This window comes from Homo sapiens, chromosome 9, assembly GCF_000001405.40.
Source record: "Homo sapiens chromosome 9, GRCh38.p14 Primary Assembly".
Lineage (NCBI taxonomy): Eukaryota > Metazoa > Chordata > Mammalia > Primates > Hominidae > Homo > Homo sapiens.
The window spans coordinates 122132255-122160098 of NC_000009.12; the positions used below are offsets into that span (position 1 = coordinate 122132255).

At 43.7% G+C, this 27844-nt stretch overlaps 2 protein-coding genes across 4 annotated transcripts in view, besides 3 other annotated features; one reads left to right on the forward strand and one right to left on the reverse strand.

The window, feature by feature from the left end:
• On the reverse strand, positions 212-27525 carry NDUFA8 (NADH:ubiquinone oxidoreductase subunit A8). 2 transcript variants are annotated; one of them, NM_001318195.2, is made up of 4 exons: positions 27373-27525; positions 19991-20154; positions 15858-16023; positions 212-720 (listed from the first exon to the last, which is right to left on the reverse strand). In NM_001318195.2, the coding sequence occupies exons 1-4, from the start codon at positions 27421-27423 to the stop codon at positions 715-717; spliced, it is 387 nt and encodes a 128-aa protein (NP_001305124.1). In that variant the 5' UTR covers positions 27424-27525; the 3' UTR covers positions 212-714. The 2 variants fall into 2 exon arrangements, with proteins under 2 accessions (NP_001305124.1, NP_055037.1); NM_014222.3 differs by lacking the exon at positions 212-720 and adding an exon at positions 11804-12124.
• Positions 1530-2069: an enhancer, noted in NCBI's record as "H3K4me1 hESC enhancer chr9:124896063-124896602 (GRCh37/hg19 assembly coordinates)". NCBI's record gives its function as "activates a minimal SCP1, AML or CMV promoter by ChIP-STARR-seq in primed H9 embryonic stem cells {active_cell/tissue: H9 hESC(primed)}" and the evidence as "EXISTENCE:reporter gene assay evidence [ECO:0000049][PMID:30033119]".
• Positions 2185-3089: an enhancer, noted in NCBI's record as "NANOG-H3K27ac-H3K4me1 hESC enhancer chr9:124896718-124897622 (GRCh37/hg19 assembly coordinates)". NCBI's record gives its function as "activates a minimal SCP1, AML or CMV promoter by ChIP-STARR-seq in naive H9 embryonic stem cells {active_cell/tissue: H9 hESC(naive)}" and the evidence as "EXISTENCE:reporter gene assay evidence [ECO:0000049][PMID:30033119]".
• Positions 27436-27730: an enhancer, noted in NCBI's record as "tiled region #3979; HepG2 Activating DNase unmatched - State 1:Tss, and K562 Activating DNase matched - State 1:Tss". NCBI's record gives its function as "activates a minimal TATA promoter and a strong SV40 promoter by Sharpr-MPRA in HepG2 and K562 cells {active_cell/tissue: HepG2 | K562}" and the evidence as "EXISTENCE:reporter gene assay evidence [ECO:0000049][PMID:27701403]".
• MORN5 (MORN repeat containing 5) overlaps positions 27654-27844 on the forward strand; it is a 40176-nt gene continuing 39985 nt past the window's right edge. For both annotated transcript variants that reach the window (NM_198469.4, NM_001286828.2), the window contains exon 1: positions 27654-27765. In NM_198469.4, the coding sequence (NP_940871.2) occupies positions 27719-27765 (47 nt within the window). In that variant the 5' untranslated portion in view covers positions 27654-27718. The remainder of the gene's footprint in view (positions 27766-27844) is intronic.

Sequence of the window (27844 nt, forward strand, 5' to 3'; positions counted from 1 at the left end):
TAGGGCGCTCTCCCATCTGTTAGTCTGCAACAGCCCTTGAGGTGAGCTTTTTCATGTCAATTTGACAGAAGAGCCTAAGGTCAGAGAGGTGGAGAGAAGGAGGTGGTGGGAGAAGGCTGGGGTTGCTGGGGAGCTCCACGGAAAAGACTGGGAAGGATGGTGCTTGGGATGGTTCTTTCTCTGCCAGCACACACAGGTGACCCTGCCTCCCTTCCACTTGCTGACAAGAATCTGGCCTTCATCTCAGGCTGGAGCTGGGGAGGTGGGGGCGCCTCCTAAATCCCAGGTCCCTCCTCAGTAGAAAGAGCCCTGGACTGGAGGCAGGAGGCCTGTGTTCCAATCCTGACTGGCTGTGTGACCTGGGGGAGGGGGACTGGGGCAAGGGGTCACTTGCTGTGTCTGAGCCCCCTAGATTAGAGGATAAGCCAGATGACCCTAAGGGTACATCCTGCTCGCATGGGCTGGGCTGTGGTTTCTAGTCTAGATCAAGACAAGCTTTTGGGACATTGCAATCCTGGGCTACGGTGACCTGTGAGTTTGCCCAATACCATGGCACAGACCTCTCCCACAGACAGATGGGCCTGGCTTCACGCATGCTCTTGGAGAGACTGGAAATAGAAGTGTCGTTGTTCTCCCAGCTCCACCAGGGCTTGAGTTTCTTCACCATGATGCTGCAGTGTCTATTTCTCCATCTCTCTCCAGTCCTTGGGAAAGTCACCCCTAGCGAGGGAAAAGGCACCACGTTTGCCACTAGCCTCGGGCCCCTTTCATGCCCATGGTTCCATCTAATCCTCACAACCACTCTGCAAAGTAGACCTTACTTCCTGCATTTCATGGGTGAGGAAATGAAGGCTCAGAGAATTGGAGTGACTTGCTCAAGGTCACACAGCTAATAAATAAGTGGCCGAGCTGGGAATTGAACCCAGGTCCCTCCGATCCCAGATGCCAGTAGAAAGACCATTCTTGATTTCTGCTTTACCTAATTGCCTGGTGCCCCTCTCAGTGACAGCTCTGCTACCTGGAACTCCTCTCTCTCCTCTTTCTGGGACCCCAGGTACTGTCCATGGCACTGCTTCCTCCTTATCCAGGCAGGAAAGGTGCTTAGACTCAGAAGTACAGAGGCAAAGAGCCCTTCGAGAGGACTCAGACCAGTCCCACTTGACCAGCTCTGCCTCCAGACAGATGAGGAAACTGAGGCCAGGCTTGAGACCTAGAATTAAAGGTGCAATCTCCTATCCAACCATGAGGCATGGTGGAAGGTGAATCTCACCCAACAGGATTCTAGGAGGCAGAGCCTCTCAGAAACAGGGGAATCAGTGGAGAACGCATCAGGGGATGCGTTCTATGGCAGGCAGGTCTGCTGGTCAGGGCTTGAAGTTTTGGAATGGACTGGCAGAGAGGAGAGGGAACAGGCCAGATCTGAGGGTGGGGGTTGGGTGGCTTGGCTGAGCTGAAGGGTCAGGCAGCCTTGGCCAGGCTCCCATCTCCAGCCCCAGGGCGAGCGCGTGAGGTGGAGCTGCGACATTCAAGCAGCTTCCTCCCCTTTGTTGGGAGTGATGTCGCCCATTTCCTGGATGTCCAAGAACCGGCTTCAAACAATAGCGCTGTCAGGAAGCCAGGAAGGGGCTGGTGCCCTGCGCCTGGTCCTACCCCATCCCTCCCCACCTCCTGAGACCCGGCCAGGCCATCCTTTATGCTTATCTCTTTGAGTCTGATGCCTCTGCCACCAGCCAGCTGTGTTTCTGCGGGCAGGCCACCTAACTTCTCTGGGCCTGAGCTCTCCATCTAAAACTTGGGGAACAGATTCTTACCTAGCAGAGCTGGCACATCGATCAAAGGAGGTGATAACAGTAGTAGGGCTGGTGGCCAACACACCACACGTAGATAACTCACGTGGAAACGCTTGGCACGTGGTAGGCTTGAAAAATGTGATTTGACAGTTTTCATGATTCAGAGTCAATTCACCTTTTCCAAATGCCTACTAAGTGTCAAGCATTTCCGCATGTGTTATCTCCGTATGGTAGGTTAAGACTTACGGTTTTGGAATCAGACAAAACTGGGTTTAAATCCCAGTTCTACCACTTACTATATATAGCTGTGTGACCCGCGATAATGAGATAACCTTTCCGAGCATCAGCTTCTTCATCCATAAAACGGGAATAACAGGAACGCCTATTTCATGAAGTCATCGTGAGAAATATGTGGGCCAATAAATGTAGAAAACTTGGTGCAGTGCTCGGCAAACAGCAAGTACCTAATAAGCGTCAGTAATTATCATTTCCACCATGGCCTTCTACAGGCCTATTTCATATCTTTGCTTACACAGCTCCCCTGCCTCTGAGCCCATCCTCTCTAAAAGTTGTGCAGGCATCCAACTCTGCACAACTTTTAATATTGAGTTGCAGCCACACAGGTAGTCCACAGTGAGGGAGTCAGAAGTCTAGGCTCAATCCTAATTTCACTACTATCTGAACCCTTCCGATCTTTGGGCCTCCGTTTCCCCATCTGTGAAGTAAAGGGAATTTATGGTTCTCTGGGGGTCTCACAATTCCGACACTCCATGAGTTAGTTCAGTCCTCTGACACCGGACCATTCCTGACACTGGACTTGGCAATGGGTCAGAGCCCTCACCCGGCACGAGAGGGCGACTGCCTGCTGACGTCACCAGCAGGCTGGAATCCTCCCCAAATGCGGAGAGCTGCACAACGGGTTCAAGCTGTGTCCAGGCTTGGAAGCTGGGTGGATGTTTTTGTCAAGAAACACGGTCTTTTCATTAATGCCATTGTCCACCAATTAGCCCAAGGCTGACTCAACAGGGGGCCCCCGTGCTGGGGGCCTCCATTCAGACAGCCTGTGGCTGGGGCTTTGTGTTCTGCCAGCCCCTCCCTCTTGCCTGGAAAAGCTCTCTGCCTGTCCACCTTGCCTCAAAACCCCCTGCTGGGGGCACTTGTCAGTCTGAGGGGTCCCATTGGCCGCACACCTAGTTGGTGCAAGGCAATGTATAGTCATCTTGTCACGGAATCTACAAAACCACCCCAGAAGGGCAGCACTGTTGTTATTCTCATTTCTCAAAGGAGAAAAATAAACTTCAGAGAAGTGAAGTGTGTTTCTCAAGTCTGACAGAAGACTCAACTGTCTCATGAGTCACCAGACAGAGTGGCTTTTTGGACCATAATATGCTTAGAGCTGCATGGCCTGGGCGAGACACTTCACTCTCCATATTCTCTCCTGTCTCTCCTCATGCTTCCATTACCAATCATCCAATTCACCAACTCGAAACTGATAACTAAGAGGGAAGCAAAGAGCCCGGGTTCTGCAGCCAAACAGCCATGGGTTATTTATTTATTTATTTAGAAACAGGATCTCGCTGTGCTGCCCAGGTTGCAGTGTAGTGGCGTGACCACAGCTCACTGCAGCCTTGAAGTCCTGGGCTCAAGGGATCCTCTCACCTCAGCCTCCCGAGTAGCTGGGACCACAGGCACGTGCTACCATGCCCAGCTAATTTTTTCATTTCTGGAGAGGTGGGGTTTCACCATGTTGCCCAGGCTGGTCTTGAGCTCCTGGGGTCAAGTGACCCTCCCACCTTGGCCTTCCGAAGTGCTGGGATTACAGGTGTGAGCCACCATGCCCGGCCTAGCCCTGGGTTTTAATTCTGCTTCTGCCAGAGATAAAATACACATAGTCCCTGCCTTGAGAAGCTCAAGTCAAGAAAGGGAGGTAAATAGAACAGTAAACAAATAATCGCCATGTAATTTGACATACAAGACAGCTGTACCTCATAGAAATTTCCCATGTCAATAGAGTCACTTTCGTCCTTTTCACAGCTGTTCGGGATCACATTGTGTGGCTCTATTGCAACTTATTTACTGTTCACTACTAATGAACAGAAGCTTTTTCTCTCTCTTTCTCTCTCTCTCTTCACTTTTTACAAGCAATGCCAAATGAACATCCTTGTACACAGCTTAACGTACTTGAATCAGTGCTTCTGTGGTATGAATGTTTACAGGTCAGGAATGGTACACACATTATATTTTGATAGATGTACCAAATTACCTTCCAAACATAATGTATCAATACAACAATTTATACTCCTCCCTGTAGCATAGGAGAGTATGCACTTTCCCACTTCTGGGTCAATACTCAATATTATCAACTTTTTACACATTTGCTGAACTAATTAAATGGCATCTTTTATGGTTTTACTTTGCATTATTCTAATTGCTGTTGAGGTTAAACATCTTTCACATGTTTATTGGCCATTCTGATGCTCTGTTCTGCAAACTGTCAGTTCATAGCGTTCGTAGATTTTTTTTTTTTTCTGAGACGGAGTCTCGCTCTGTCACCCAGGCTGGAGCGCAGTGGTGCAATCTCGGCTCATTGCAACCTTTGCCTCCCGGGTTCAAGTGATTCTCCTGCCTTAGCCTCCTGAGTAGCTGGGATTACAGGCGCCCACCAGCAAGCCTGGCTAATTTTTGTATTTTTAGTAGAGACAGGGTTTCACCATGTTGCCCAGGCTGGTCTCAAACTCCTGACCTCGTGATCCGCCCGTCTCAGCCTCCCAAAGTGCTGGGATTACAGGCGTGAGCCACCGCGCCCGGCTGCCTTTGCAGCTATTTGTATTTGGGTGTTTATCTCCCAACTTTCTGCTTCGGTTCTGTCAACTTTTTGATCCCACTCCTGCCCTTTAGGCTTCTGATGCTCAGGTCTCCTCCAAGGTCCCAAGCACTGCTCCCCACTCTTGTAGTTTAATCTTCCCGATCCATTCCTCCACACAATAGCACTAGCCACAGTTTCAGCCAGCCTGAATGCAGGAGGGCAGAAATTCAGATCGAATTTGGCCCAATCAAAAGGCAGTTCAAGTAGTGGATGATCTCCGAAAGGTTTCTCTTCTAACTTTTAAGATCAAAGCCCTCATAATAATCCTCTAAACAAACTCAGCCTCAAACGGCAACAAAGTTACATGAAACAATTTCTTTTCCTTTCCTTTTTTTTTTTTTTTTTTTTGAGACAGAGTCTCACTCTGTCTCACCCAAGCTGGAGAGCAGTGGAGTGATCTTCACTCATGCAGACTCTGCCTCTTGGGTTCAAGTGATTCTCCTGTCTCAGCCTCTGGGGTAGCTGGGATTACAGGTGTGCACCATCACACCCGGCTAATTTTGTATTTTTAGTAGAGATGGGGTTTCACCATGTTGGCCAGGCTAGTCTCAAACTCCTGAACTCAAGTGATCCACCTGCCCTGGCCTCCCAAAGTGCTGGGATTACAGGCGTGAGCCACCGCGCCTAGCCACATGATTTCTAATGAGGGAAGTGGTTGACAAAATCTTAGAATCTCTTCCATATCTTGTCCTTCAAATGTCAGTGTGGGTGATCTATTTAAAACAGAAGCCCAAAATGCTCTTCTCATTTTAATGAAATTCCCAGAATGAATTGCCCAGGTGATTAGGTCTATTTCAAGAAAACATGAAAACTCCACTGTCTCCCCCAGCAAGCTGGCTAATAGAGAAACTATGTTTCATATATTTCTTGACTTGGAAAAGAGCTTGGATACCTACTTGGTCCAACTCTTTATTTTACAGCTAAAGAAACTGGCTGAAAGGGGAAAGTGGCTTGCCAAGGCCACATAACAAGGTCACAGACGGAGCCCAGCATAGCAGCCCAGCTTGCTTTTCCTCTTTGCCCGGCTGCCCATCACAGTGATATGGAAGAAAAGATGCTAAAGGACTTTCTGGAAAGTTCTTTGGTATGAATTCACCACTAGGATCCTTGGAAACAACCACAGCAGCCCAAGGGTGCTGTGTGTTCAACAATCAAATAAATAAATAAAGCCTTTAAGTCAAACCACTGTCATATGACATAATACCTTAGTTTTGGAGAGCAAGGGAAAGGAACAGTATTATCATTTTCTTTCTAGCATCAACTCTTCCATCAGAGCAGCAGAATTGATTAAAACAAGGCTTCCAGAAAGGGTATGCCTGCTTAATTTGCATTCAACCCTCAAATTAAAGGAATACTGGCATGCAATTTATATTTCTTGCATGCAATTTATATTTCTTGCATGTAATTTATATTTCTTATTACCGCAGCCTAATTTGACCTTTTATGCAACCATCTCCCTTCAGTTCACAGACAGCATTTTTACTGAGACTGTGACACGGATTTCTGGGCTTCTTTTTTTTCCTTTTTGAGAAAACAAAAGCAAAAAGCTTGCAAGTCTCCCATCTTTTCCAATGGCGTTAATCATTAAGGTAAAATCCCGGGCCTCGTTTTGCATAGAAAATGCCCTGGTGTTTATTCTGTATAGACCTGATATACATTGAACGATTAACTAGGCTACTCTCTTTTGCAGAGGTGATGGCTGTGCTGCATTCATTCAACAAACAGTTATCAGGCACTATGTGTCGGCTGCTGTTACATGAAGGAGAAGATACAACTGCAAAGGAGATGCAGTTCTTGCTCTCAAGGAGTGTTATACAAGGCAGGTCATGCGCAGGGTGCTTCTAACACGGAGGAAGAGGTGATTCTCTTGCTGGGGGTGGGGATGTTGACAGCCGCTTCACAAAGGAGACAAAATGTGAGCTGAATCTCCAAGAAAGAGATCACCAAGAAGAGGTGGGGGGGGGGCCATCTGAGCAGAGGACACAGCAAGAGGAAAGGCACAGAGTGGGGCTCAACACGGATGGAGTGTTGGGGGACAGTAGTGGGAGATGAAGCTGGAGCGCTCTGAGTCACACTGTGAGGAGACTGACTGTCACACTGGGGAGGCTGGACTTTACCCAGCAGACTGCAGAGACACCTATGGCAGGAAACGTCCCTATGAGAATAAAGGTGGAAGTATTATAGATAGGCTGTGACCTGCATTAGGCTCTTCCACACAAAACCACATTCCAGGCAGACGAGTTTCCTCTCTGTTCCTGAAGCACAGCGAGCCCTGCCCTGCCTTGGGGTTTTGCTCCTGCCAAAAGGTTTGTTCCTGCAGACTGGGACACTCTTCCATCCACTCTTTCACTGGCTGGCTCCTTTTCACACTCCAGGAGGAAGCTCAAACTGCGCTTGCTCTGAGAGTCCTTCTGTGGCCTGTCTTCTTAAACGTTCCCTCACCCCCTAGCTAGTCACTATTATATTAACCCTGTTTGGTTCCTTCTCAGGATTTATCACAACCTGAAATCATCTTGTTTTTGAATTGCCTGTTTATTGCCTCCACCAATGGAATGGAAGTTCCATGAGGGAAGGGCCCTTGTCTTGTTCACTACCCATGTCTAGAAAGGCAGGCTGCAAAACCAACGTTGATTGAATGAATTAACTACTTAATGTGTTTCCAGAGTTCTAGCTGCAACTACACCCCCTTTTCTCCAACTGAACAAAGTATTTATGAGTATGAATGAGCAAGAGTGATAGTACTTATTACAGCGCCTGTATGTCCAAGCCACACACCACACCAATTTTTATTTTTTCATTTGGAGACAGATTCTCACTCTGTCACCCAGGCTGGAGTGCGGTGGCATGATCTCAGCTCAATGCAACCTCCACCTCCCAAGTTCAAATGATTGTCATGCCTCAACCTCCCCAGTAGCTGGGATTACAGGTACGTACCACTACGCCCAGCTAATTTTTGTATTTTTAGTAGAGAAGGGTTTCCTCATGTTGCCCAGGCTGGTCTCGAACTTCTGACCTCAGGTGATCTGCCTGCCTCAGCCTCCCAAAGTGCTGGGATTACAGGCGTGAGCCACCGCGCCCGGCCCCAGACCAATTAAATCCAAATCTCTGGGGGTGAGATCCAGACATCAGTATTTCGGGATCCCCTTGGGTGATTCCAATGTGTATCCAATGCTGAGATTCTAATACTTTTGAAGGACAAGCACACAGACAATCTTCATTTTGTTTCCCAGATCTACCAGTTTTCATACATGAAGCCTGGGACATCTTACTTAGCTACTCCCTAGTCTCTGGAATCTGTCTTATTTTTTAGAAGTAAATAAATTTGCAAATTTCAATATCTTACTTAAATTACTTGTGACACACATCACAAATAATCAAGACACATAAAGGCATCACAACCTCAAACTGAGACTTCCTAAATAGGAGAAGCAGCTTTTTAAAGCCCAAGTATGTCATGATCCATTTCAGGGCATAAAAAAAATCCTTTATTATATCCAAAGCATTTCAGCTAGGATTTGATATCTACAAAGATGGCAATGTAACCTCAAAGAGTTACTCGCATTTCTACCTACAAGTAATTTTTTGTTTGTGGTTTTACAGCACGTAAAGGGTTTGGAAGTCCTCTGGAAAGGTAAACTTCGTGTACAGTTAATCATTTCCTGGATGTTTGTCATATACTGGGCACTAGGATATAGAAATAGAAATAAGATAGAAGTCCAACTCTTGCAGCACTGAGAACAGGAGAGGTAAGACACAGCCAGGGTCACGACAGGTGTTACTCAAATACAGTCTTATAACAATGCTACCATTTATCAACCCTCTACTATGCATTTTGTGTGTGTAACTCACTATATACTCATAGCCATCCCAGAAGGCAGGTACTATTACTGTCATCTCCTTCCCCTTCTATTTTACAGATGAGGACTATAAGGTACAGAAAGGTTAAGTATCTTCTCTAGGGTCACACAGCCATTAAATGACCAGAGCCTGGATTCAAATCCAGACAGCCCAACTCTAGAGCCCTCATGCCCAACCATCATACTACATTGTGTCACGGGAACAAAGGGGCAGGAAAGACCATTTTTGGCTGTAGGAAGGGGATACTTCCTGGGAAAGACACCATTCGTGTTTGCCTTTAGAGATGGGTAGACTTTCAAGAGGCAGCTACGGGGAAGGACTGTTTCCTGGCAAGGGGATAGCATTCGTGAAGATCTAAAAATTCTTGATGAATAGCATGCTGTAGAGTATAGGCTACATAAGAAGAAGTAAGATAATGATGGGGAAATGGGCTAGGCTAGGGCCAGGTTATGGAGTGTCAGAATGCCAGTAAGGATTTGGGCTTTAGTTAGCAGCCATTCGTGAGCCCCTGAAGGCTTCTGAGTAGCAGAGGCACGTGGAGCAAACTTGAGGATGGACTGGAGAGGGAGATGGCAATGGGAGACCACTTAGGAAGTCATTTAATAATCCAGGCAAGGGGAACAAAAACAGCCTAGGAAAGTGACAGTGAGATAAAACAGGAAGTAGCAAATGAGAGCGATTACAGAAGAAACTCAACAGGACTTGATGTTGGATTGGAACTTGGAGTAAACCGAAGAGTCAAAGATGCATCTCAGGTTATTTGACACTGGGAGGATGGAGACACCATTAACTCAGATAGGGAAGACAGGAACAGGCTTGGCAGAGGAAAGGAGTCAGATAAATTTCCTTTGGGGATATAAGGAATTCATCTCATTATTCTCAAGCCAAACCACCAGGAAGATTTTCTATTATTTGAAGTCCTGTTCAGGAATCCTTCCCACTAACTGCTTTCCAATTGTTCTGTGACCTTTTACCTACTGAAATTGAGACAGGCACTTGTTGTGAGAGACTTAAGAAATTATTATATTTAATTACTTAGACTCTTCTGTCCTAGAAGGCTATGATGTCGTGTAATCCCATCGCGAGTACAGGAAAGCCAAAAGTCAGTTTCTTTGTTCAAGGAATTCAAAGCAAGGTGGGGAGGGGGGAGGCAAGAACTGCTGTCCAACTTGGGCAAAAGTTACATCCTAGAATTGAATTTGAAACCATTAACAGTTCAAGACGCGTTGCTCTGGTTCTAAAGAGGTGAATTAACATTTGGGGAGTGAACAGTGCTAGAAGTTGCAGCAGGTAAATTAGTCATAGATCCTTCTCAGAAAGACGGTATGGTTTATTCCCTCATTACCTGTGTGATCTATGGACCAGTGCCCTTAGCACCAAGAAACAGCTTATTAGAAATCTCAGGACCTACCGCAGACCTACTGAATCAAAATCATTTTACTAGGATCTCCATATACACCCATTTATTTTGAGAGTAGGGGCTTTGGAATCAGATGTATCTGGGTTTAAATCTCAGCTTAGCCACTTACTACTTACTAGCAGGTAGCCTCCTGTACTTGCTTCCTCATGTCTAAAATCAGTATGTCGTTCTACACCTTGGCTTCACATCGGAATAGGCTGGGAGTGCTTTCAAAAATTCCAAGCCCAGGCCACACTACACACCAATTACAACAGAATCTCTGCGGGTAGGATCCAAACATCAGGATTTAAAGGCCTCTCAGGTGATTCCAATGTGCACTCAAAGCTGAGAACCACGCATGGCTTTGAAGAATAGGAGTGTGGCCATTGGAACCAGACAATCTTTACTTGTATCCTGTATCTACCACTTCTTATATATGAGACTGGGGCTTCTTAACCTCTCGCTAAACTTTAACTTCCTTCATCTGTAAAATGAATATGACCTGTAGTACCTCGTTCAAAGGACTCTGGGCATTGAAGGAGGTGAAACATGTAAAGCACTTAGCACAGTGCACAATATTATTATTTATGCAAGGCCCAGCTTCCTTTGCAGAAGGAACCTAGGAAGCAACATGTGGGTTGAAGTATCATATAAACACCAATCTGCAGCCATGCTCATACCTTACCCACCAGAGGGGAATTCCAATTACTTGGCCACCAAAACGTTAGTGGGTTTTGCCTCAGCTATTGAAAAAAATGCAAAAAAAAGTCTTATTTTTCATTAGAGAATCTGAGGCAAAAGTTGGTTGGCAAGTAACTTTTGCAGAACACGTGGGGGTTCTGCTGGAAGCATCCAAAATGCTTCCGGATGTGGGGTCAGCACCAGGTGCAGAAGCGGCCATGGCAGATCACACAGTGCTTTTTCTTTGAACTGTCCTAGCACGTCAGGCAACAGACCCTGCACCTCATCTGCCTGGTGCCTCACAGCAATCTCCCCACTTAGAAAATCTAGAATGAGCTCGAAGGGCCTTTACAAAGACTCTTGTCCAACTGCTTTGCTTTTTAGAGTGCCGCAAAGAGGTAACCAAGGCCCAGGGAGCTGAGAAGACTTATGCGGGGTCATACGCAATTTAAAGCCATAACCAGAAGGCATAAAATGACCCAGTCAGATGTGGAGGAAACAGCCTAGTAGTGAAAAAAGAATTGAATGAAAGGGGAAAAAAGACATAATAGTGCTTTGAACCAAAGAGCTTTATAAACACTTGTGGCTTTAACCTGCCCAGGAGGTAGATAAGCATGTGCCCTTTAGTTTGTCCTCAAACTCAACCTCTTGCAAGAGGTTAAGGAACACACCCAAGGTTGGAATTGACACTCAGACCTCCAGACTTCCTGGCTTTGGAGCTGGAAGTTCAGCCTCCACCTCCCTTGTCTATCAGGAAAAACATCTGGGTTATAATGCTTGAGGATGGGATATCAAGGGGAAGTGGTGGAAGTTCGGTTCTTCAAGAAACTTTGAGCAAGACTGCATGAGACCCTGCTAGGGGCCCCTCCCATTCCGAGTCATGCCTCAAAGAAGTTTCTGCACTTCTATCCTGGAGGCTCCCCTTGTATGACCTTTAGAGAAATCTATTTGCCTAAGACGTTGGATGGAAGGAAAGAGAGCTGAGACTTCAAAATGTGTGAACACAGACACACCCCAAGGAGCTGCCTAAAGTAACAAAGCCTTTCCTTCACATGGCCACTTCTGCCTGTTCTAACAGGGATCCCCAGCCACATGAGCGAGTGCCTAAAGCAAAGCAAGAGGAACAGGCAGGACCACAAGAAGAAAAAAGCAAGGGGAAGTCATCTTTAAAGGCCAAAAGGTCACATAAAACATAATAAAATACAACCGTTTCCTTTAAAAATTTTAATGGACAGGAAATGGTATAGAATAACTGCCAAGTCACATAAGTTAACTTTTTTGTTAATGTTTGTGATCCCGGAAAGAACACACTATCAGTCGATGCAAACCGCATGGGCGTTTTCATCAGTCGTTGTCTGAGCACATGACCGAGTGTGGGCCACGGACCCATCTTTACTTGGTCCAGAAATAAAAGCGGCTGCCATGTGTGGCAGGCTGCAGATCTCCCTCGATCTCAGGGCTGGGATCCGGTCTTGGTCTTGAGTGATAGGGATTCTCCGGTAAAGGTCGATCTGTTTTCACTTTGGTGACCTGGGAAGGGTGAAGAGGGCAAAAGCAAAGTTGAAAGCTAGGGTGGAGGAATCTGTAACCATCAATGCGCCTCCTGGTGTCTCCTCATTGCTCCCGCTGCTACAACTGCTCCCCGACTTAAATTCCCAGCAAATCACATTCAGACGTATTTAATCATTGAACAAACACTCAGGAAAGCCTACTTTATGTCATTCCATGTGGTAGAAACTAGGGATACAGAAGGGAACAAGATACTGTCCTCAAGGGGATCACAGTCTAGTGAGGGAGAAAGCCAGGAATAACAACCAAGATTTCCAAATCACCCTGATGGCTAATGGCAATGATGGAGACAGGAACTGCCTCTATAGGAGCAAGGACTGTGCACATCTAACCCATCCTGAAGGCTGGGGGTCTGGAATATTTTTAAGGAGGTAAGACTTAGCTTAAAGTCTGAGCAGGAGCCAGTCAGAAAGGCAAGGGAGGAAAAGACATTCCAAGGAAAGACTACATATGAAGATAGGCAGGCATGTCTTCAGAATGGCTGAATCAAAGGCTGCATGAAGAATGGAGGGAGATGAAGCATCTCACCAAGAACTTATTGCTAGAAATGATGCTGAGCACATGATTCCATTCCATTTTCACTCTTAGGAGGTCATTCTGCAGGGGCTCACTGAGGCCACCTAGCTAATAGTGGAAGAAATTGTACACAAAGCCAGATATGCCTACTCCAAAGCTTGTGCTTCTTAATACCACACTACAGTGGTGGACAGGCCAGATGATAAAGGGTATTAAATGATATGCAAAGGTGTTTGCGTTTTAACCTGACGGTTAACAGGTGCCACTGAAGCACGGCAGTAACTAAATCCCATCTCTGTAGGCTGGGAAGTGTGAAAGCTAAAGTGGAGAGAGGCAAGACCCAAATTGGGGAGCTGAGCCAATAAGCCAGGAGAGTGGTGAAGTACTAAACTGCAACAGGGAGAGAGATAATTTACACTCACAGTATCCCCTGATGGTCACAAAAATCTCAACTGGAAAGCCAGCAGAAACTGCTGTCATTTTAAAGATAAAGAAATAGGCCCAGAGAAGTAAGAAGACATAAGGCCACAGCTGTCAGCAGTCTTCTGATTATTCTTCTACTGGGCTGAACTCTTAAGTCACCTCATGTAAAATGACCAGATTCATCTTCCTAGATGTATAAATTCAGAAACCTTTTATTGGGAACAGAGCTTTTGTGTATACAATCACCCAATTATTATTATAACCACCTTATGAGGCATTATTATCTCTAGTGCACAGATGAAGACCAGGGAGGTTGGCATGCCTAAGATAAGATACACACTAATGTCAGAGCTAAAGCTGGAACCTAAGTCTTCAAGTCTACTAGTTTCGTTTGTTTGCTTTTGAAAGTTATCCCACCGCCCTGTCATAAGTACAGATGGTTCCTAATGATCCACTAGTGGTTCCTTGGTATTTGCAGCTCCTTTAAGGAATTAAAGACATTTATGAAATTGGCTGGGCACAGTGGCTCATGCCTGTAATCCCCGCACTCTGGGAGGCTGAGGCAGGTGGATCACTTGAGGTCAGAGTTCAAGACCAGCCCAGGCAACATGGTGAAACCCCTTCTCTACTAAAAATACAAAATTTAGCTGGCCATGGTGGCGGGTGCCTGTAATCCCAGCTACTCAAGAGGCTGAGGCAGAATTGCTTGAACCCGGAAGGCACTGGTTGCAGTGAGCAGAGATCGTGGCACTGTACTCCAGCCTGGGTGACAGAGTGAGACTCCACTTCAAAAAGAAAAACAAAAAAAATGTTGCCCAGGCTAGTCCTGAACTCGTGAGCTCAAGCGATCCTCCTGCCTCAGCCTCCCAAAGTGCTAGAATTGCAGGTGTGAGCCATGGCACCTGATCGAGAAATACACTTTTGAAAAGAGTTAAGAGAATTTTTTTTTTATCTCACAGAGTTTTAAAAAATGTTAATACAAAGATTCAAGAATAAATATGCTTTCTTACTAGCATGACTTGTTATTTCTTCTTTCATAAGTCAGAAATGAGAAAAGGTAGTTTTATTTGTTACATGTATAAGTTCTACCACTTTCCAATCTAGAATTATCAACTATTTAAAATAATATGTTCAGTACATCAAAAAGTATCTGAAAATAATCAAGCCAGATATAAAAGACAAAAAAATTGCTAAGTTATTACTCATGACACCAAGCTTATAATCCAACCATTCACAGATGCTATACACAAAGAGAAGGGAACTAGACCGGGTATGGTGACCTGTAATCCCATCACACTGGGAGGCTAAGGTGGGAGGACTGCTTGAGCTCAGGATCTCAAGACCAGACTGGGTAATATAGCAAAATCCTGTCTCTACTAAAATACAAAAATTAGTTGGGCATGGTGGCCTGTGCCTGTAGTCCCAGCTACTTGGGAGGCTGAGGTGGGAGAATCACCTGTGCCCAGGAAGTCAAGGCTGCAGTGAGCTGTGATCGCACCACTGCATTCCAGCCTAGGAGAGAGAGTAAGACCTGAGTTTTTTCCTCCATGCCTTGCTACCTGTGCTGCTCCACAGGGAACAGAGGGAGCTGAGGCTGAAGAAGCAGGGATGGGTCAGATCATAAAGGGCCTGCATGCCATGTTATGGAGAAGATGCTTTATCTCACCAGCAATGGAGAGTCCCCGTACAGTTTTTAAAAACACAGTGACATAAGATTTGTTTTCCACACAGATCACTCTTCTTGTGGAGGTGTAATTTAATCCTCAATTCTTCAATTTCATCTAAAGCCCACATTGATCCACCCTCCTCTCCCAGAAATTCATGTACCCCAGGTTAAGAACTCCTGTCCAAGAATAAGATAACAGCAGCAGGAACAATGAGAGGATTAAAAAAAAAATTCCAGAAGATGCTAATCTAAAGGAAGTGATGACTGCATGGAATCAGTAGGGAATGAAGAATTCAGGTTTCTAGCTCTGATGTTTCAACAGATGGTGGTGTCAAAACTAAGATAGGAAATATAGGAGAAAGAGAAACACTTTTAAAAGTACAAGAATGTAGTTTTAAAAAAAAAATCTTAGATATGTTCCTGAAAAATGTGGCATAAGCCTGATCCTATTTCCCCAGTGAATTCCACAATAACCTCCACAATGTTTTCAACTGACAGTGTTTCACTAATACTTTATCTTTCTCTACTCCCTTCTGTTCTTTAATTAGCTAATTAACTAAAAACAAACCTGCACATGCTAGAAGGCCTAAAGAAATTTTTTTTTTTTTTTTTTTTTTTGAGACGGAGTCTCGCTCTGTTGCCCAGGTTGGAGTGGAGGTAGTGGCACAATCTCCATTCACTGCAAGCTCCACCTCCCGGGTTCACACCATTCTCCTGCCTCAGCCTCCCAAGTAGCTGGGACTACAGGCGCCCACCACCACACCCGGCTAATTTTTTGTATTTTTAGTAGAGACGGGGTTTTACCATGTTAGCGAGGATGGTCTCGATCTCCTGACCTCATGATTTGCCCACCTCGGCCTCCCAAAGTGATGGGATTACAGGCGTGAGCCACCACGCCCAGCCAGAAATATTTCTATTTTTAAAAATTCCTTTCTGGATTGTGTATAATCACTGCCTAATTAATATGTTTGGTAAATCTGGTAAGTTCTTACATCATATCTGTATTTACAGAGACCCTTTGCTGACCACCTCCTGCCTTTATCCCACCCCTGAATCAGAAAGTGAGACCTCCAGCAGAAGCCTTTTTACCTTTGACAGTTCTCCCAGGTCAGGCCGCACCCAGCCCAGTTTGTCCAGCACACACTCGTCAAACTTTGCCTGCTGTTTGCGACAGTGACGAAATAACTGCTGGCCAGTATAATCAATGCAAGTCCAATATTCTGTAAAAGGCTCTGCACAGTGACGTTTTATCTGCCTGGAAAAGAAAGCTGGGTTAGGGGCATCTCTTTGCAAAACAATGAAAAACAGAAAAGTGAGAAAAAAATAGGTACAGATCTCAAATACATAGCCTTGCTTTTTGAAAGGTATGTGAGTACATATTCTTATCTCACTTACAAGACAACTTCAGGATCCTCAAGTTGAGAACAAGTTAGTAAACAAAAAAGATTTCTGAGGTAGAAAACCTAATTTCTTTATATAGTAAGAAGAAAAGAGTGTAGCCTAATGCACGCCTATTTTACTCAGAGAGGAACTCCTTACTTGGGGCCTATTTATTCTTTTCTTTAGATCCAATTCCTCTAAGGGTATCAGCTTAGCAAATTTAGAAGAGGAGGAGGCATAATTAAATAATGGACATGCTGATAGAAGTCAAACGTGACAGACAATGGCAAAGGAAGAGACAGAATTATAAAAAGCAAATACACAAACTAACAAGCAGAAGATCCTGGGATCATTCAGTATAAAGACAAACTGTACTCCACTCCTCAAAAGCTCAAGGTCCTCATTTTATTTACGCATTGAACAAAAATAGATATTAATCCTTGCTATCAAGAACAAAGTTATATTATATTTGGTATTCTCTGCTAAGAAGCAGGGTAGCATATAATTCATTCTGTGGCCATCAAAAATGGCTAGAGAAAATTTAACTTCTGTGTATAAAAAGAATAAGTTTCAGTTTTTTGCAAAATCCTCCTTATCTTATCATTCAACCCTACTAGTATGCATGTTCAAGCAAGAATAAAATATCATCATTTTATGTAAAAGCCATACTTGAGGCAGTGAAATTCAGAACACCTCTTTCTCCCAATGAAATAATAATTTTATTATTTAAGTGCTTACCTGTCATACTCCAGAAATCTAGCTACACTCTCACATGAATCTTGTTTAACATGGATCAGGAAGGAAGGATCTCAGAGATGGCTTAAGGAAGTATACAGTGAAAAATCTGCTTTCCACCCTGCCCAATAAGCCACTCAGTTGCTCTCCTAGAGGTCCACCAATGTCACCAGCTTCTTAGGTTTCCCTTCCGGGTATACTAAGCATAACCTGCACCCACATAACTTCTACTCAAGAATCACTTTGGTAGAAAGCAACCATTTCCAATGGGAGTTTTATATTCCTCCAAAATGCAGCAGCAGCAGACGGGCTGCAAGCCACTACTCTAGTAGCATGGATCCCTGTTCTGGACCCTGTTACCCATACCTAACAATTATCTACTAATGCCTACAACCAGCAACTTCAGCAGTGAGAAATTCCTCTATGGATTCACCTTGGGAATTTGTGAAATCCAAACATTCCCCGCTTAAAATGTACTACCACTGGACCATGGAAAAAATGCTTTGCAAAAGTTCTCTTAGAAAATAAAAATTGTTTAGGCTGGATGCTGTGGCTCATGCCTGTAATCCCAGCACCTTGGGAGGCCAAGGTAGGCGGATCACTTGAGGCCAGGAGTTCAAGACCAGCCTGGCCAACATGGCGAAACCCCATCTCTACTAAACATACAAAAATTAGCCAGGCAGGTGGCACACACCCGTAATCCCAGCTACTCAGGTGGCTGAGGCACGAGAATCGCTTGAACCCAGGAGGCAGAGGTTGCAGCGAACAAAGATCACGCCACAGCACTACAGCCTGGGTGACAGAGTGAGACTCTGTCTCAAAAAAAAAAGAAAAATTGTTTAAATAAACACACACACAGACTCAATCTCGCTGGCAATCAAATCAATGCAAATTGAAACATCCAAAAATATTTGCACCTCCCAAATATTTAAATACTATGCATACCAGAATCCAGCGCTGAGGACAGCATAAATTGATCCAACATTTAAAAAACAAAAGCATTTGCTGGGCACGGTGGCTCACGCTTGTAATCCCAGCACTTTGGGAGGCCAAGGCAGGTGGATCACGAGATCAGGAGATTGAGACCATGGTGAAACCCCGTCTCTACTAAAAATACAAAAAATTAGCTGGGCGTGGTACTGGGTGCCCTATAGTCCTAGCTACTCGGGAGGCTGAGGCAGGAGAATGGCGCGAACCCGGGAGGCGGAGCTTGCAGTAAGCCAAGATCGTGCTACTGCACTCCAGCCTGGGCGACAGAGTGACACCCCATCACAAAAAAAAAAAAAAAAAAAAAAAAAAAGCAATACAGTTCAAGAGCCATAATGATGTTCAAAGCCCTTTATAGAGTAAACTCACTGTTAGGAAATTTATGCCAAGGAATTATTAACTGATGAAAATGATCTATACGCAAAGGTAATCACTGCAGATTTATCCAAAATAATCAAAAACTGAAATCAACAATGATGTTCAATAACAGGAATTGGTCAGGTACGTTATGGTTGGTTTATCCACTGATGGAATAATATATAACCATTAAGAATGATGATCACGGCCAGGTGCGGTGGCTCACACCTGCAATCCCAGCACTTTGGGAGGCCAAGGAGAGCGGATCACTTGAGGTCAGGAGTTCAAGACCAGCCTGGCCAACATGCTGAAACCCCATCTCTACCAAAAATACAAAAAAATTAGCCAGGCATAGTGGCGCAGGCCTGTAGACCCAGCTATTCAGGAGGCTGAGACATGTGACTCGCTTGAAGCCAGGAGGCAGAGGTTGCAGTGAGCCAAGATCACACCATTGCACTCCAGCCTGGGCAACAGAGTGAGACTCCGTCTCAAAAAAAAAAAAAAAAAAAAAAAAGATGATCATGAAGACTATATAGCAACTTCGAAGAGTGTTTCCAATAATATCAAGTGAAAAATGAATTTCTCAATGTATACATACTATGATTATAACCACAAAAATATCTTTGCATAGGGACAGAGACAGCAGAAGCAAGAAAGGAGGAAAGCAGCTACTGTGCTAAGGTATCTATTTTTTTTCTCTAACTTCATTGTAGTGGACATCGGTGGTTTCTGCCTAGCCAGCAGTCATTCCCCATTCTTCCGTAACATCCTTCTAATTTTCCTTTGGGAACAACCCCTCCCTGTCTCTCAGCAATGTGGTTTGGATGAAGCTAAGTCCACTCCCCATCTCAGGCCTGAGCAATCAGAGCTTTTTATCTCCTGAAGCACAAGTGATGCAATGATATGTATACGAAGTCCGCCAGCCAGGACAATTAGACTCAGTCCAGGAGCTTCTGCTCACTTCTGGATAAAGGGCACACTTTGTCTAGGTTTGCTAAGCAAGTATCAACAGAACAGCAACTCGAGTGGCTGGTGGCCATTTTTGGTACAGCAAGGTGAGAGTCTTTCCAAAATGAGGTCAACAGAGAAAACCAGAACTAAGAGATTGTGAAAAGAGGAGAGGCAAAAAGACATCAAGTAGTTGTGAAATTATTTAAGCCCTTGAATCCAGCCCTGCCTGATGCCAGGCCTATTTCTGGACTTCAGAGTTACAAGAGCCAATTTCCTTTGAGTTGACTTTCTCTCCTTTTAAATAGAGTGCTAATATGCTTGTTAAAACATTTTCCTACAATTACACAGCTTAGTTTTTTTTTACTTAAGTATCATGCACAATGACCTACGTAAAACCTAACTCCGCATACAGTTTTCTTTCCATCATACCTGTGTTCTGTAGTAATGACAACAACCTAGTGAATGCCTGCTTAAAAAGGACTGTGATAGGTTGTTTTACGTGCCTTTTCAAATTTTTCACAGCAAAAAGACTTTCCCCTTGCTGTAGCAAAAATGGTCACCAGTCACTTGCTTAGCAAACCTAGATAGGTATTATTTTACAATTTGGAAACTGAGATTCATGGAGATAAAAGAACTTGCCAGATAATAAAAACAAAACCAAAAATAATTATCATCCTTTGAATGTTTTACCTTGGTCTGATTTCAAAGCCTATGTACTTCCTAATAAAATCCAGATTATTAGCTGGCTGTTCACTTATTCATTTAAACCTTTATGCTTCAACCAAGTAGGCACTGATACCAAAGATTTTTACCTAAAGAAGTCCAAAGCACACTTGTTGACCAGTTTGCCTTCCTCTAAACACCGCCTCGGATCTTTCTCTTCCCAGCGGCAGAGCATAAACTCCTTGTTGGGCTTATCACATTGAGCTCCATAGTGATGGGCCGCAGCTTTAAGCACAGCAGAACTAATTTTCACCTAGGAAAGGAAAGATGGGACAAAGGCCACAGACTGTGAACCAGAATACCACTTTCTCAGCTTTACCTCATGCGGGTCAGAATAGAGAACACAAAAGTAGCACTGTTCTGACTTTACCAAGAAAATTAAACACTGTCATAATAATAATTTTTTTTTTTTTTTTTGAGACAGGGTTTCACTCCCATTCCCCAGGCTGGAGTGCAGTGGCGCGATCTCGGCTTACTGCAACTTCGGCCTCCGAGGCTCAAGCGATTCTGCTGCCTCAGCCTCCCAAGTAGCTGGGATTACAGGCATAAGCCACCTCGCCCAGCGATTCTTTAAAATCTATGGTGATTTAGAGAACGCAAAGCTCTTTCACATATATTATTTTCTTCACTTTTACAATAGTCTCATGAAGAGATTAATATTCCCATTTTAGAGCAGAAGAAATGGCACCCCTAATAGAATCTTTATTTATGGTAGAGAGAAAAGGGGTGTAGAGAAGGATGGAGTCTTCTGGGATGCAGGGAGAGGAACCAACTCTGGAGAGCTTTGCTGAGTTTCTGCTGCTGGAATAAAATTAATAGATATATAAGGCTGGGCACAGTGGCTCATACAGGTAATCCCAGCACTTTGGGAGGCCAAAGCAGGCAGATCACTTGAGGCCAGGAACTCAAGAACAGCCTGGCCAACATGGTGAAAGCTTGTCTTTAGTAAAGATACTAGAGATGTATCTGGGCGTGGTGGTGCACACCTGTAATCCCAGCTACTAGGGAGGTTGAGGCATGAGAATTGCTTGAACCCAGGAGGCAGAGGTTGCAGTGAGCCAAGATCATGCTACTGCACTCCAGCCGGGGTGACAGAGCAAGACTCTGTCTCAAAAAAAAAAAAAATTAAATTAAATTAAATTAAATTAAAGGATAAATAAAACTCCCAGAGGACTACGGAGTCACAGAAGATGAGGCTGGAAGAGATCACAAAGAGCATCTAGTCCATCTAGTAATAGTCCATCTAGTAATAGTCCATCTAGTAATAACTAATAATAAAGTACTAAAATCTGCAAATTTTTTAAAAATCAGAGCGTATCCAAGGTTGCCACCCCTTTAACTATGCCCACCAGTTTTGCTCAATAGTATTTTAGTGATATTTTCTTGAGAAGATACACAGTGTAGATATAGCCAGCTCAGAGAGAACTGCAAACTGTCCAGGGCCTACAAACAGCTGCTTAAGCAAGAGACCTGTGGTCCCTTTTCTGTACTACCTTTTCTTATACCAATACCACAATGTTTTAATTACTGTCACTGAAGATAACATTTTGTTATCTGGGAGAACCATCCTCCTCATTCTTCCTTTTCAAAACTTTTTTGGCTATTCTTTCAGATGAACACCTTCCCCCAATAATTTGCATTCAAATTGTATTAAATTTAGTTATATGTTAAATTAGGGAACAATGGGCAGTTTTTATAATACTGGGTGCCTGCTCAAACTTCACATCCTCAGAGAGCCTCTCTCTAATCATCTTATATAAGCTATCATCAGTGGTCACTCATGTGGTCTGGTCTTAGCATTCATGTGCTAAGTCTGATCAATTCTAGACATACTTGTTCTTTCCTCTCTGTAAGCACAGTTTCTGTGTTAAGCACCAATTACACTGGGGTCATTAACATCTTTCTCAATAATTTTAAGAGCCCCTGAGTGGTCTGTGTGTGACTAGAACATAAGCTCCCAGAGGGAAGGGATTTTGTTTTCAACAGAGATCCACTACTGTAAAGATATCAATTCTCCCCAAATTAAGCTATGGTAATTAAATATAATGTTGACTACGGTACACACCAAGCACCCAAAATAGTGTCTAGCACAAGTAGCTGTTGAGCACCCACTCTTTGCTAGAAAATGGGGATACAATAATTAGAAAACAGATATGAATACATCAATCACACCTTCTCATCCACAACACAGTATTTCTCTCCATTTATTCATATTCAAGTCATTCTTGTCCTTTGGTTAAAACTAGTTTCCTTCATTATAGGGACCTTGAACATTTCTTGTTTATTCCTCAGTATTTTAGCACTTTTGATACTATCTAAATAGGATAGTTTTTCTATTAGACTTTCAAACTGTTTACTGCTTGCTTGTATACTGTATTTTCTCTCCAGCCATCTTACTGAACTCTTGTTAGTTCTGACACAAAACTCAAGAAGATTAACAGAAAAACTGCCATTTACAAATAAAAACTGTCTCTTTCCCTTCTGCTACTTTATTTTTTTCTTCTTATTCTCATTTCCTATTTTATTGCTTTAACCAACCCCTTCAGGACAATACAGACGAAGAGCAATGACAGCAGACAACCTTCCCTTTTTCTAAAATTAAAAGCAAGTTTGGTATAATATTTGCTGTTGGTATCTGGAATATAGTTGTTTGGATATTCCTTGTTAAGAAAGCTTCTTTCTAATTCTAATTAGTTTTGCTTTACTGTTGTTTTCTATACCAGAAAAGACTAAAATTTTTAGGCTTCGTTTTCATTAATTTATAAATGTAACATAGAGCATTAACAGATTTTGTAAAACTGATCCAATGTATTTCTAGAATAAAATCTAGTCTGTCACAGTGTATTATGCTTTAATACTCTACTGAATTTGATTTGTAAAATTAAAAATTGTTGTGTGAGAACAGTCTGTAATTTTATTTTATTTTATTATTATTATTTTTTTGAGACCGAGTTTCGCTCTTGTCCAGGCTGGAGGGCAGTGGCGCAATCTCGGCTCACCGCAACCTCTGCCTCCCAGGTTCAAGTGATTCTCCTGCCTCAGCCTTCCTGAGTAGCTGGGATTACAGGCATGCGCCACCACACCCGGCTAATTTTGTATTTTTGGTAGAGACGGGGTTCCTCCATGTTGGTCAGGCTGGTCTCAAACTCCTGACCTCAGATGATCCTCCCGCCTCAGCCTCCCAAAGTGCTGGGATTATAGGCGTGGGCCACCACGCCCAGCTGTAATTTTATTTTTTATGCACTTTATGCAGCTAGGTTATTAATAAAAGGCAAGGAAAGATGACAAGAGTAATTAATCTATACACTATAGAAAGGAGAATAAAGTTATGACTATGTCTATTAATAGTGCAACTGTTATAATTATCAAAGATAAAGTTATGACATAAGTGAAATCTGCCATGATGACTCTAATAAATTTATGTTTAAAATCTGTAAAGTTTTCATATTAAAGTTTTTGAAAATAAAAGAATTTATTTAGGTAAACTGGCACACATTTGCTTGTTTTATTACCTATAAACAGCTAGGAGAATAAAAACTAACACTCAAACTTTTTTAAAAGCTTAATATATTTTAATAATTAAGTCAGTTATATTTACTTGTCATATGCCTTAAAAGAGCTTTAACTGGCTGATTCAATTATTCAAAGGCCCAAAACTATACGGCCCAAAAAGACTGACGCATTATTTATTTCCCTACAAATGTGGAAATCTTATCAAAATGAAGGTATACACATGTTGCTGAGCATATAAAACACCATCCCTGTCACAGGAAAATAAAGGAAGACATTGAGTCTGTTTCGTAATTAATGAAAAAGAGGGATGTGCTAGAGACAACACAGTGAGTCAGTGGCAACCCCAGAACTAGAACACAGAGATTGTGACCTCCAACCAGGCTTCTTCCCATTATATCACCATCACTGAGGTGGATGAGCCTGAGATGTCACCATATCCCCTCACCTGCTTCTTCACTGAGACTGATGAATTCCAACAGAAACAACATCCTTTCACAGCTGTTTACCATGAATACCGTCTCAAATTCATTCAGATCTCTTTGTCTCAAACAACACAGAATTTCAACATCCTTCTCATTTATTCTCACAACAGCCTCATTGCACAGCAGGGCTACACAGTCTGCAGGTGTGGAAACTGAGACAAAGTCACCATCTAGAGCCAATCAACCTTCTAGTCCTGTCCTTGTCTCCTTAAACTACGTCTGTACCTCTTTTTATAGTACTTTATTTATACCATGCCTTGAGTTTTCCTAAATTTATGTAAAACAGAGAATAGTACTTAATAGAACTGTTATGAAGATTAAATGAGTTAATATATATAAAAATAATAAGAACAGTGCCTATCACATCGAAAGCACACCATAAATATTAGCTATTTTTATTTTTACTCAAAATTATCAAATGTGTCCAAGGACTTTCCAGTCCAAAGCTTCTGACTGCTTTTTCAATGGGGATGTGTCATAACTCCTAAGCCAATGAGGTCCAAAATGTATTTAACTCGCTCTCCAAACGGGCTCCTTTTTCTGGCTTCACCAGTACTATTGCCACGCTGCAAATCTGACTTTGATTCTTCAACCTTCCCTACCTCCAATATCTAATCCATTGCTAAGTCTGATCAATTCTAGATATACTTGTTCTTTGCTCTCTGTAAGCACAGTCTCTGTAAGCACCAATTACACTGGGATCATTAACATCTTTCTCAATAATTTTAAGAGCCACTGAGACTAGTCTCCCTGCTTTTCTTTTTCTTTCTTCAATCCATTCTTCACACAGCTGCTACCGTGATCTCCCTAAATGACAATTCTTATTTTACTCTGCTATTATATTAGCAACCAAACTCTCATTCAGCCTTAACAGCAGAATAAAGCCTAAACTTCTTAACGGGTACTGAAAGGCTTCTGGACCCAAACTATCTTTCCACCCTTCTCACCACAACATTTCAAAAAGGGACTGACTATTTACTGTTCTCTCAAAACACTGAACTCCTTTTTGACTCTCTGCATTTTCCCATCTCCTTACTTTTGCTCAGACCCTACCCTCACTTAGAGGGGTCTTCTCTTCATCTCCGCCCATAAATGCCATTCTTCATATGCCATTTAGTCATGTCTTACATTATGTCCAAAAAGTGCTTTCTCTATTCCCTTTATAGTTTCAGAGAATTTTATAGCTGGGATCACCTCATCTTACAAATAACCATGTCTGCAAATGCTAAAATCAAGTAATCAAGGTGACCGGCAGGTAGGCCTAGAATTTAGATACAACTTCAAATCTTTTCCTAAACCACATCTTCCCCCTTTCATAGTATTTAATCACACCTTGTCTTGTATTTTAGTTATTTATGTAATTATTCGTATGTTCATTCAATTGTGTGAAGACTAAAGGCAAATGTATTTCAGATACATCAGTTGTATGAAGTAGAACTTCAGATGTTTGTTGAACCTAATAAAAATTGCAACAAGAAATACAGCAACTCAAGATTAACCCAGCTACATGGGGTGGGGGCAGGGGGGTGGTTCGCCGGGGGGAACAAAAGAGTGGGGGCCACATGGCAGCTCCCCTCTGCCACCTCAGAGTAAATGTCACTTTAATATAATAAAGTCCCTGAACATAGCTAATAATTTCTTCCTCTGAGGAAAATAACAGTTGCCACTCTCACAGGCATCTAAGATTAAATGAAGCATTGCAGGTAGAAGACTTAACATACGGCCAGGCGCGGTGGCTCACGCCTGTAATCCCAGCACTTTGGGAGGCCGAGGCAGGCAGATTACGAGGTCAGGAGATCGAAACCATCCTGGCTAACACGGTGAAACCCCGTCTCTACTAAAAATACACAATATTAGCCGGGTGTGGTGATGAGCGCCTGTAGTCGCAGTTACTCGGGAGGCTGAGGCAGCAGAATCGCTTGAACCCGGGAGGCGGAGGTTGCAGTGGGCCAATATCGCGCCACTGCACTCCAGCCTGGGCAACAGAGCGAGACTCTCAAAAACAACAAAACAAACAAACAAAACACTTAACATAGTGCCGGGTATATCATTGCTGGTACATCATTTCTAGTCTTGGCCTTCCTCTCCTTTAATATAGCCTGTTCTACTATCCAGCCCTGCCATGACACTCCTCTGCCTTAAAACCTTCCACTCTTCCCACCACCTCCCTTACTGGATCAAGTCCAAACTGTTTGGTCTGGCCTTGTAGAAGCTGCTTCCAAGTCCTATCTCAGCCCAAGTTGCCTCTCCAGGCTCAGCACCTGCTGCTTCCCACCACCACCACTAGGGTCACATCAAACTGTACTTGGCTCCCTAAACACACAAGTTCTGCTAGGCCGTCTCATTCTTGTGAGTTTTCACCCATAATATAGTGGAAAAGCATTGGTTTTAAAATCAGACTTGGGTTCACTTCCAGCTCTATTACTTACGAGCTCCGTGACCTTGGGCAAATCATTTCTACTCTCGGGGACTAATTCCTTATTTATAACGCTACGACCAATTGTGTGTGTGTGTGTATATATATATATATGACCAATTGTGTGTGTGTATATATATATGGTATATACATATATATATATACACCAATTGTGTATATATATATATGGTATATATATATACACACCAATTGTGTGTGTGTATATATATGTGTATGTGTGTGTATATATATATATATCCTACCTTATAGTGTTGCTGGGAGGATTCAATGAATTAATGCATGGAAAGTAATTAGCATCCTGCCTGGTATCTAGAAAGGACTTGATCATGTTAGCTATAATTAGTAGGGTATGTTTCTACTTCACTCCTCACAGCACTAACTACATTGTACTGTGACTGCCTCTTTATGTGTCTGTCTCCCTACTGGATTGTAAAGTCCATGAAAGCACGAAGTATATCTCTTCCAGCGTTATGTGTACACGTTAATTACTGAAATGATATCTCTTGAATAAACGAATGCTTTAAATGGGTCCTGTTACCAAACACCTTCCCAAGGCTGTGAGTAGATGCACGCTCCAATATTGTCTCATTTTCCCGCGGCTTCGTCACCCCACTCTATGCACTCTGCACCGGTGATACCACTTTAAGGTAGATGACCGTCTCCCTCGACTGTGAGCCCCTAGGGTTGTATACTCACCTCGCATGCAAGTTTGAGGATTAAGCGACATAAGCTAAGTAAAATGACTGGTTGGTGCTTAATAAAATGTATCACTATTATTCACGGAAGGAGAAATAGGTCGCTGTGGAGGGCGAAAGGGGGAGGATTCTAGAGCCACTGCAAGATGCGACAGGGTGGGGTAGAGAGGGGAGGCGACTCCCAAAGCTGCGGAGGGGACCTCCGGGGGTCGACCTGTATATGCGTTGGAGGACTGGGGAGGGGGGCCCGGGTCCCAGGATCCGCGGAGCCCAAGGGGGGCTAGGCCCAGGCCCGAGAAGCCGCAGCCCCATGTCTCCCTTGCCTGTCCTCCGGATAGCCTCACCTCATCTACTTTCAGCTCCTCTAGAGTGGGCAGCTCCACTATCCCCGGCATGACGGCTGCAGCCCCGACCCCGACGAGAAGCCCTCAGCCGCGTCGCCCCCGTCTCCTTGAACTCCCCTTTCGACCGCCGAGTGCCACACGGCGCCTGCGCATGCGCATCCGGCAACACGCAGGCGTATTGCCCTGCCCAACCACGAGCGAGGGAGCGTGCGCAATACCAAGAACTTTTCAGCCTCCAGCGGGGTGGGGCTTCGATTCGGCTCCGCCCACCCCTCCAGGTTGTCATAGTGATGCCGTATCCACTGAGACTCCGGATCCTAACAGCTGGAAGCTAAAAACAGGCGCCATGGAGTACACAGGGAGCAAATATATCGGGGAATATGTAGATGGGAGGTAAGGGGCTCATTTGATTCACTTACTATACCTTGAATAGCTGTGACTGGAAAAAGACGGCTTTTTGCTTCTGCGAAAC